Raw genomic sequence first — 12,123 nt, 5'->3', positions numbered from 1 at the left:
CCAAACGGCGTTTTAAAAAATGCTACCTTTTATGGAATACTTAATCTGTGTTAGTCACGGGACTAAGCACTTTGCATACATGATCTAAAATAATCACACAAAATCAGCCATATGGCAGTGATTACATTATGCTCATGTGATACATGAGGAGGTAGACACACAGACAGGTTAAGTAATTTGAAATCTGGTAAACAAAGTAATTAGATTTTTAAGCATATGGTTTGGTAGTTTACATTTAGCAGTTATCAAACTATAATTTCCTCTCCAAACTGTATCTGGCGTTTAGGCTTTAAGCAAAACTGGGCTACATCCACAATGTTGTTCCTTTATTCACTAACTTTTAACTTCCAACTTTTTCATGCACACGTACGTTTATTGCAGCACTATTCACAATAGCAAAGACTTGGAACCAACCCAAATGCCCATAAATGATAGACTGGATAAAGAAAATATGGCACATATACACCATAGAATACTATGCAGCCATCAAAAAGGGTGAGTTCATGTCCTTTGCAGGGACATGGATGAAGCTGGAAACCATCATTCTCAGCAAACTAACATAGGAACAGAAAACTAAACACCACGTGTTCTCACTCATAAGTAGGAGTTGAACAATGGGAACACATGGGCATAGGGAGGGGAATATCACACACCAGGGCCTATCGGGGTTGGGGGCTAGGGGAGGGATAGCATTAGGAGAAATACCTAATGTAGATGACGGGTTGATGGGTGCAGCAAACCACCATGGCATGTGTATACCTATGCAACAAACTTGCGCGTTCTGCACATGTATCCCAGAACTTAAAGTATAAAAATAATATTAAAAAAGAGAATTCACTGAAGAAAATAACTTTGCTATCTTAGACCAAGAGACTGAGTTTTTCCCAATGCTTAGTGAGATTCCTTAAAGGTTATCTTTTCTTTCTAAATATATGTTTAATAAATAGTTAAACCAGAGACATGAATACACTGAAAGAAGTTTATGTTATTAGTTATATTTCATTTTATTTAAAAATGATGATCTCTTCAATTCGCTTATGAACAAAAAATGATGTGTCTCATCTTGTGGAGAAAACCTTGTTGATTAAAATGATCAAATCTTTCATTTATATTGATTTTTCTAAACATCAACATCTCATTTGAAAACCACTTTTCACAGCGGAAAGTGACTGAGAATATGTTGGCCACTTCTGTGGCTAGCTTACTAGAAATACACGGAAAACACAAGCATCACAGTTGGTTAAATAATGCCAAACTTCACAGGCTTTTCTTCCTAGTAGCCCTAAAATAAGAGGGAAATATGTCCTGGGTGTTTTGGTTGACACTTCAAAGATAATAGCTCCCGTATTTTATCTTAATGATTCTTTCAAATTTTGCATTCTATTCAATATTTGTGCTTGCTTTAATGTAAATTATTTATGGCTTTAAATGCCATTGCTTACACTTAGATAAATTGTTTTCCGTATTTATTGGTTGTTGGATAAGATATTGCACTGAGTTGATGAATTTTAAAAATTAAATGGACTGAAATGAGGATGGTCCCATGACCGGGAAATCCATCTTGGTGTTACCTTCAGGAATATAAGTATGGGTATGTATGCAAAGCCAGACCATAGCTCTTTTCTTTTACTGATGGATAGGTTGTATTATAATAATCACTGGATAAAAATGCCAAGAATGTTGCCAAAGAGACAGTTCAAGACAATGTATATTCACACTGTTATTTGTTAGAAATTTTATAAATTGTTTGTATATTTGAGTAATATGATGGGGCTGAAAATTCTCTGCTCCACAGGCAGGCATTCCATTTTACTATCACTGGCATACACTCATCAAAGAACTCTTTTCAGTGAAGAAAGATGAATGATGATGTTATTCTTATCTTTAACAAAGATATTGTAAACATCATTAGTTTTAATTGAACTAAAATGCTCAAATACCTCATCATTCCCACAAGCAATTCTCCTATTTCATCTCTCGGCATTCGTTTTAATTGCAATGATCTTGTCATAGACAATAACAACCTTGAGAGTTCTTGCCATTATTGATTGACATTATTTAGCCTTGAAAAAGTATATGCTGGATAAGCCAATTTTGTTAAACATTCTTTATCATTCAGGACAAAAAAAGGAATTAATTCATCTTATTCAAAGCCTGACCTTTTGTTGGATGTCTTAATTCCCCTTTCCTGTGAGGAAAACAATCATTGAAGCCAGAGTTACAATGCTGTGGCACCCTGCTGCACACGTGGATTGCAATTTTCCAGATTAAGCTAGAGTTCATCTGTGAAGTAAGTTTTCAAAGTCACTTCCTATTGTTTTTTAAAAAGTTATTCAAATCACCAGAGTTTTTGTTAAATGAAAGTTTCCATTTTTGCCACCCCATTGAACACACTGAGGAAATCAGAAGGCATATTGCTTGAGGTGAGTATTCTTGGTAAATGATGCAGAGGTGCTGGGTCATTCAGAATGAGCAATGTCCTTGATGTGGGTTGCCACTCCCAAAGTTTGATATGGGCACCTTTTTTCAGCTTGGCTGCCTCTTTTTGATCCAAAATAGATTTAGTCATGCCTATAGCATGAGTGCCATCAAATAGTCTCCTGTTACATTAGCTTCATCTTTTACAGTATTTTGAAAATGCCCTTGAAGTTAACTTTGAAAGATATTTCATTTCCCTGTTTATATTTTTATTGAATTCTCCCTAGCACAGTGTTCTACTTTTTTTAATTTGAAAAAGATCTCTAATAATTATTCTTCAAAATTTGCTAATTGTGTTTTAAATGCTTCTGCAAAAGTGATAGTATCAGACTATTTTGTCCCAGGGTTTTTTAGCAAAAGGTTTCACAGGTGTTAGGTTTGTTATCCCTCCATCGTAAAAACCCATATTTTATATAGACATCAAAATATATTTCATTTTGCTGATGCTTACTATTTATATGGTAGCATTTTAAATGTACTAAACATCATATATACTGTGAGTCTCTGGAACACAATTTCTGAGATCGCTCTCAATACCTTCAGAGTTTTCTAATTTTATTTTTCTAATTTTGTATAAATTCACAGTCACAGGTTTCAAAGCTTCTGATTAAGTCTTTCTGGTTTAAGCCAATATTTTATACATCCATTACAAAATGTAATTTCAAACAACAATAATGATACTATAATAAAAAGTAACATTTTGGCTATTTTGTAATATTGTGGCAGTTACTGTGGTGGAAATTACAGCTAAATTTGGTTGTGTTCATATAAAGTTATTTGAATCATAGATTGAAATATTTATCTTTGTGCATTTTATTTCCAACTTGAATGTGGCCTTTGCTAATTAGTGAGAGATATCCCTATTGCCTTGAGATGTTTTTATGGGCATTTAAAAGAGCTCTAGGTGTTCAGGTTTTTTGACATCCAGAACAGGATTTTGAAAATCAGAAGGGGAGACTTGAGAGAAGGAAGGGTTCAATCCATGTCAATGGAATTAGGAAGAGACAGATATAAGAATTCCCTCTTTCTCTGAAGTTCATATGCCTGGGGGTGATTGAGCTGGAGGGAAAAATGAGAAGTCAAACATGGGAAAGATTCAGCCCACAGGGAACTATGTGAACAGGTTCAGGGGCAGCATTAGGAGACTCACCAACGTTCATTTTCACGAAGCTGCCGAGACGGTCCACCAATTCCTGTGGATCATCCAAGGCCCTTTGAGAAAGCACCAGCCCTGTGGGGTATGCCCTTTTTATCCTTAGCAGCAGGCATAATATACTAATGCACCATCCAGCAGAGAATGTATCTGCTCTGATACTTTGCAGACATCTGATCAATTTTCCCTGGTAGATACATTTTCAGCAGCCTCCATTTTTAGCAGCTCAGATAATTTATAAGGCCCCTGAAGATAGAGGGTGAGAGTTTTATGCAATCTAGGAACAGAGATGAATATAAAATGGAAAGTACATGGGAGAAACTTTTAAGATCATGAAATCCATCCTCAGTACATAAAACATTTTATTGAATGTGGTTGTGTCAGGAAGAAACAATGATTGTATATGAGTGTATATATTCAAAACAAAAATGCCAAACAGTCAGTTAACACACAAATCTATAAAATAAAAGGAAAGCCCAAATGGGTTGCCAGTGAGAATTATTTTCAAATTTGCATGTTTTAACTTATTTGGACAGACAAGAATTAGCCTTGAGGACCAGTGACTAGTGACCATTCTGGTCTTGTCACAGCAGTGTTTGCTGTTGATGATGTAAACGGCATGCTAGGTTTTCAATTATCACAAAAATACTAGATTTCTTATTCAGCACACAAAAACCTTTTGTTCTTTGGACTTTCATGAAAAAGCAAAGGATTAGCTGACATGGAATATACATTCTGTCGATTCTTGTGTATGTATGCGACAAACCTCTCAAAGACATCAACAACACAACAACACCAAAAAAGACTCTGCCCCAGTTTTGCAGTAAAATTAATTTCATGGGTACATACGCCATGCTTATTCTATGGGTTGGGTGCCTAAGTGTGCAACACTAGGGGATATGCAGGCCCTAATTTAAGAATGACTATTTGGTTTCATGTCATTATTACAATTTATGGAGTATACCTAAAGATTAAATTGCAGCTATTTTTATCAGTCTCCTCAGCAAAACTATAAATTTCTGAGAGATTATATACCAATTGTAAAAAATACTTAAAATAAATCTTAATTGAAACTGAATCTTATTGAAGCAGGGCTAATGACTGAGGATGAAAAAAATAAATGAATCACATGATTTTTCAGTCCATATGCTGTAAAGCCAGTTTTCTTGTTTTGTAATCTAGGTATCCATTGCTTCTTTGATTTATTTAGTTCCCTGCATATATTAATTCTACCCATATTTTACTGTCCCATTAAAATGCCATCTCCAGCAAAGTGGTTTCCAGAATGCCTTAGCTGAAAGAATTCATTACTGTCACTATTTCTTCATTTAATGCTATTTGGTATTTTTCATAGGGTATGTGATTTTCTAATTCACATTTTACTTATTTATATGTATGGCTGATTTGTTTGACCAGAGTGAAAGGGCCTCGAGGACAGGGAAAATGTGTTACCCATCTTTGTATCCTCCAGACATAGGGAGTAGGGAACATTTTCTATAAAGGATGTAAAAGTAAATATTTTTGTTTTTTTGGGCCACAGGTGGCCTCTGTCCCAAAACTCCACTTTTTTTAATAACGATTAAGAAATGTGAAAAACATTCTCAGCTTGGAAGATGTACAAAACCAAGTTGTGAACCAGATTTGGCCCATGGACCAAAAAAACAACCCCTGCTTCAGAGTATCTGGCAGTGCATATATAAAAACAAAATGTTTGTAAAAAGAATGAGTAATAATAAAAACTAATAATGACTAAGTAATATATTGGAGTATTCAACAATATCCCTATTCTAATCCACACATGTAAAAGTAAAAAAAAAAAATTCTATTTCCATTAAACCAATTTACCAGGTCATCTTCTTTCCTCCAGAAACGGTTTATTCAAAAAACAAATAGAATTGACATTTTTCTACTACTGAATTTTGCTTAACTGTCATTCTCCCTGGGTGTGTGGGATGTTAGATATTTTAAAAAGCCATATTCACTGTGTGTAAGATCCATATGCAGGAAAACAATAAATAATATGAAATACACTATTGTAAAGGAACAAGGCTTAAAGTCTGTGAGTTCTCAAATAATGTATCTATCACTAAATATTTATTGAGTCATTTCTCCCCAAAGAGGAAAGTACTATGAGTGCTTCTGCTTACGATGTAGAAAGACTCAGGAATCAGTCCTTCCTACTCTAAACATGAGAGAGTGCCAGAAAATTTAAGAAATTATAACTAGCTTCGAACCCATCCAAGACTTGAGATTGTAACACAAAGAAGGAAACTGAATTCCAGAGAGGGCAAAGATCTCCTGAGGAGAGATGGGAAACATGACCTGTTTCTCCCTTGGAAGAACTGAAGAGGGGAAGGCGGTTGCCTTAGACGCAGGTGAGAGGAAATTAGCTAAAATATTGATGAATTTTTAAAGGCTAAAGTGTAAGCTAGTGCATCAGTTTAGAATACCTGGAAGGCCCAAAGACACATTCACTCCAAGGCTCTGCTTCATGAACCCTGCCGAGTGCTGTCAAGAAATATTAGAGGCAGAGCTGGAGGCTGCTGCAAACCCCTCAGTGGCTCAGGCATACAGAAAGCCAGTGTTGCATTGAGGTAGAGTTATTGTCACAGGATTGTCATCTTGTAAGTGAAAGACTTACACCTCTGGGAAAGGGGCGGAAAACTGTATTGTCCCCAGGGTTATTGTGGAGGGATAGATATAAAGCCCCTCTGCCTCTTGAAGAGGGATAGCAAGCTCTACTTCATGCCATCAGAAATCAAGAGAAGATCTATTGCTTCCAATGAAAGCATTCTGCTTCCAGGAGAGAAACAAGAAAACCTCTTGGGCCAATGATACTGCAACAATACAAAGCAGATTCTCTCTGATGCTAAGGGAAGAAATGACAATTCTCTCCTGCTCTAGAACCTCAAGAGATATAAGATAGAATTTGGTTGCTTTGAGGACAAAGGAGCAAGAAAAATGAGAAAGCCCCACCCCCAAATGCCCAGATTCAAGAACTTTCCTAATATTAAAACTAGAACAAGGAAACAGAGGATCTACCTAGCTCCACCATGAGCTTGGCATTGAAATAGTCTACCCAGGGAGATAGAGTAAGAGAAGCAGTTGGCAAACAACAAACAGTCTGTGGGCCAATTCCACTCAGCAGTCTGTTTCTGTAATGCTTGTGAACTAAGAAATGGTGTTTACAGTCTTAAAAGATTGTAGAATAAAACTAAGGAAAAATATGGGTCGGAGACCATATGCAGCCTAAAAAGCCAGATTATTTAGTATCTTACAGAAAAAGTTTGCTGACTCCTCTATTGCACAATTGTATAAAAACATCTAAACATGAGGATGGAGTTGGAAGACAATGAAAAACCCTATAGCTTGCCAGGCCCCACTCATTAAGCCCTATAATGTGAGGCAACCCCTGAAGGAATTTGAAGCTTAGGTGCACCAAAGTTAATAGTAGTGACACAAAACCCATGCCTGGCTCATCTAACTCAACTACAAACTAAATTGACATAACGCCTTCACATTAACAGCCTAGCAGAAGAGGCATGTCTATTTCTAGGTATAAAAATTATTTATTTCATTGTATTTTTACCTCACATTGCAACGTACATATTTCTTTTTTTAAATATAAAACACAAAAAGTAGCAAGAAATAAATAATCTATTTTAAATGATAAAGCAGTCAACAGAAGGAGACTTGGTGAAGACTCACATGTTAGAATAATCAGAAAGTAACTTAAGTAATAACTACAACTAATATCATCAAGTATCCAGTCAAAAATATAGAAAATATGTATGAACAAGAGCTGAAAAAAGCATGGAAACAAACTCTCCCCTAGTCCCTCTAGAAGGGATACAACTCTGTTGATACCTTTATTTTAGCCCAGGACAATCTATTTTGGACATCTGATGTCTAGATAATCAATTTATGTTGTCTTAAGACATTAAGTTTGTGGTAATTTCAGACAGCAGCAGTAGGAATCTAATAAAAACACAGATACAAAGTCTTTGAAAATATTAGCACATCAAATCCAGCAATGTGAAAGAAAGATACTATATCATGAGCAAGTATGATTTATGCCATGAATGTCATCTTGATTAAACATTTGCAAATCAATGAATATGGTTCATCATATAGAGGCTAAAACCAGAAATAAGGCTACACATAATCATCCCAGTAGATGCAGTGAGAAGGTTAATTTTATGAGTCAAATATGCAAGGTCATGGTACTTAGAACCACTGTTTATTTCTCTGAAGATATTTTTTAAGATGAGTTTAACAAGTAAATCAATAGATTTTGAGTAAAACAGGTTGCCTTCCCTAATGTGGGTGGGCTTCATCCAATCAGTAGAAGGTCTTAAAAGAAGGGATTTCTGCCAGCAGACTGTTTTCAGAGTTGAGCAGCAACGTCAACTCTGCCTTGGGTCTCCATTCTGTGGGCCTACTTTGTACTGGGGGTCTTAACATTTGCAGTTAGATAAGAAAAAGAAACTAACAGCATCAATATTGGAGAGGAAGAAGAAAAACTTTTCACAGATAATATAATTGTCTACAGACAAAATACTCCCAAATCTACAATTAATTACAATCACAAAAACTAATAAGAATGTTATTAAAAAGTCAGGAAACAACAGGTGCTGGAGAGGATGTGGAGAAATAGGGACACTGTTACACTGTTGGTGGGACTGTAAACTAGTTCAAACACTGTGGACGTTAGTGTGGCGATTCCTCAGGGATCTAGAACTAGAAATACCATTTGACCGAGCAATCCCATTACTGGGTATATACCCAAAGGATTATAAATCACGCTGCTATAAAGACACATGCACACGTATGTTTATTGTGGCACTATTCACAATAGCAAAGACTTGGAACCAACCCAAATGTCCAACAATGATAGACCGGATTAAGAAAATGTGGCACATATACACCATGGAATACTATGCAGCCATAAAAAAGGATGAGTTCATGTCCTTTGTAGGGCATGGATGAAGCTGGAAACCATCATTCTCAGCAAACTGTCGCAAGGACAAAAAACCAAACAACGCATGTTCTCACTCACAGGTGGGAATTGAACAATGAGAACACATGGACACAGGAAGGGGAACATCACACTCCGGGGACTGTTGTGGGGTGGGGGGAGGAGGGAGGGATAGCATTAGGAGATATACCTAATGCTAAATGACGAGTTAATGGGTGCAGCACACCAACATGGCACATGTATACATATGTAACAAACCTGCACGTTGTGCACATGTACCCTAAAACTTAAAGTATAATAATAATAAATTTTTTAAAAAAAGAATGTTTGGCAATATTACAGGGTATGAGATCAATATACAATATCCGAGTGCATTTCTAACACTATAATTGAAAAATTGGAAATTGACATTAATTTTTATTATTTTTATTTAAAATGACATTTAATTGATATGTGTGCAATAGCATCAAAGCATGAAATATGTATGAATGTAACAAAATATATGTGCGAAACTATAAAACATTGATGTGGAAATTTTAATTCGGCAATATACCAGGATAATCAATTGGAAGACTCAATATTGTTAAAATACCAGTGTTCCCCTAGTTGATCTACAGATTCAGTGTAATCCCAATCAGTCCAGCATGCATTTTAGTGGAAATTAGCAAACTTTTTCTAAATTTACATGAAGAAACAAAATATCTAGTAAAACAACAATTTTGGACAATTTGTACTACCTAATTTCAAGACTTCAAAGAAAACTATACTAACCAAGACAATGTGGCATTTGGATAAGGCAAATATTTATATTAATGGAATAGAGAAAACAGTCCAGAAGGAAAGCTACACATGTATGGTGAGTCCATTTTTTGTACAGCTGCCCAGGTAATTAAATATAGAAAGGATAGCTGCTTAAATTAGGTGCTGCTTTAAAATGAAACATCCAAAGCAAAAAATGAGCCTTAACTTACACCTCGCCAATTACAAAAATCAAATCAAAATGTATCATAGACCTAATTGTAAAAACTAAAACAAACTTCAAGCCAAATATTTTTTAAACAGAATACCTAAAGCATAAACGCAAAAGAAAACATTGAGAAACTGGAATTAGTCAAATTCATAACAGCTACCTTTAAGGAGTGGAGGGAACAGTTCACAGAGTATGAGAAAATATTTGTTAACACAAATATATGATAAAGGATTTCCACACAATATGTGATGACTTCATAACTCCATAAGAGGCTCCATAAAATAATACGGGAAAAATATTTACGCAAATGTTCCACCACGGAAGAGATATTAATGGCAAATAAGTATATAAAATATGCTTAACATCTTTAGTCATTAGGGAAATCCAAATTGAAACCATGGTGAAATACCACTACACATGTACTCTGATAGGAAAAAAAGGCAAGCCACATATTAATATAAACATGGAGTTATTAGAATCCTTAAATATTTCTGGTGAGTATGCAAAAAAAATGGTAGAGGCATTTTGGAAAACATTTGCCAATTTTGTATAAATTTCAACATACATTTAATAAACTATTCAGTCGTCACACTTCTAGATGTTTACCTAAAATAAAGAAAAACATATGTCCACAAAACATACACAAATACACAAATGTTTATAGTGGCTTTTATTTATAATACTCAAAAACTGGAAACACGCAGATGCCCATTAACTACCATTCAGTAATAAAAAGGAATGAATTACTGAAACGTGCAACAAGGATGAAACTCAACAGCATTACACTGGACAAAAAAGTTACACTAGACGAAAAAAGTTATATATTGTGCAATTTCATTTATATGACATACTGGATATGGCAAAATTATAAGAACAGAAATCGGATCAGTGGTTGCCGGGAACTGGGAATTGTGAGGAGCATATTGACCCAAAAGGGAACAAGGGAACTTTTAGTGAGGATACACATATTCAGTAGCTCAATTGTGGCGATGGTTTCATGACTGCACACATTTACTAAGAACCCATCAAGCTGTAGATCTAGAAAGACTGAATTCCACTGCATGTAAACTGTATTGCAAGAAATCTAAATTTTCAAAAAGGGGGAAGAAAACAGCCTAGGGAGAGCTGAAGGACTGGTTTGAGGGGGTAGAGGCATTTACTTTGGATATTTAAAACGTGCGCAACATAGTGGGAGGATTTGTAGCACAAGGAGAATAAGGATGTTCTTTAAACAAGATATGTGGCTTCAAAGACAGAGAAATGTTAGTTCTGAATGAAACTTTGGGGGATATCCTGTATGATTTATTTATTTATTTATTTATTTATTTATTTATTTATTTATTTATTTATTTATTTTCAGACAGAATCTCGCTCTGTCGCCCAGGCTGGAGTGCAATGGCGCGATCTCGGCTCACTGCAAGCTCCGCCTCCCAGGTTCACGCCACTCTCCTGCCTCAGAGTAGCTGGGACTACAGGCGCCCGCCACCACGCCCTGCTAAATTTTTTGTATTTTTAGTAGAGACGGGGTTTCACCGTGGTCTTGATCTCCTGACCTCGTGATCCGCTCACCTTGGCCTCCCAAAGTGCTGGGATTATAGGCGTGAGCCACCATGCCTGGCCGTCTGTTATTTTTTATAGAAATAAGCTGAATACACTTAAGTGTGGTTAAGTTAGATGCTCAAGGTCACATAGATGGTCAACGGACATTCTTAAGTTCTTCCCATGCTGTCTTCTCTAGATGAAAGTAATGCTTAAGATTGACTTGGGCTTTGATCATGAAAGTGGAAACATGTTTTGGTTGAAAATGGTAGGCAAAATGAATTGAACATGGGAACAATGAGAGTCAAGGAATCCAGTAGACATTAGCAATCACACTATATATTATTTTCTACAAGGCCTAGAATTTATTTTTCCTGATTTCCAATCAATGCAGCTTATACAAGAGTGGAAATGAACACCTTCATAGTAGTTGTGGAAGTAACCTGGCTGATTATAATGAGAAAACAATATCAGGTTCCCATAAAACATGATCCCATGTTTTATGGGATCCTGATATTGAGTTGGTGGTCTGCACCTATGTATGCCATGGCCCCACGTAGCTATCAACATCAGGTCTTGCCAATGTTAATAGATTTTTCTCTATGTATCTTTCCTTTTATAAAATTTGTTTCATATTTTAAAGTGATTGCTAAAAGAAATTTTAAAAATCAAACAGTGAAAAAAACCACTTCCTTCATTCCTCTTCACCTTAGACATGAACTCCTGTGTTATTTTTATGGAGAAATTGGGAGAGTGCATCCTTCCAAAATTTTTTGTGCATAAAAGCAAACAAGCACTTTGGAGTGGCTAATGCCAAAAAATTGTTCAAATCTATGCAACTTTTTGTCTGTATATATTTCATTAACATATAATTCATGTACTCAAAAATTCATGTACTCAAAACAACTCAATGGTTTTTACTATATTCCCAGAATTGTGTGTGACCATCACCATAGTAAATCCTAAAATATTTTCCTCATTCCTAAAAGAAACCCCCCCCACAGT

General features: G+C 35.7%; 1 annotated feature.

Moving 5' to 3' along the window:
* Positions 1,529-2,728: an enhancer, noted in NCBI's record as "MED14-independent group 3 enhancer chr9:83450894-83452093 (GRCh37/hg19 assembly coordinates)". NCBI's record gives its function as "activates an origin of replication core promoter dependent on BRD2, BRD4, P300/CBP and CDK7 cofactors, and independent of MED14, by STARR-seq in HCT116 cells {active_cell/tissue: HCT116}" and the evidence as "EXISTENCE:reporter gene assay evidence [ECO:0000049][PMID:35650434]".

Source organism: Homo sapiens, chromosome 9, assembly GCF_000001405.40.
Source record: "Homo sapiens chromosome 9, GRCh38.p14 Primary Assembly".
NCBI classification, from domain to species: domain Eukaryota; kingdom Metazoa; phylum Chordata; class Mammalia; order Primates; family Hominidae; genus Homo; species Homo sapiens.
The sequence above is the reverse complement of the archived record's forward strand: the minus strand, read 5'-3'. Positions and strand labels throughout refer to the sequence as shown.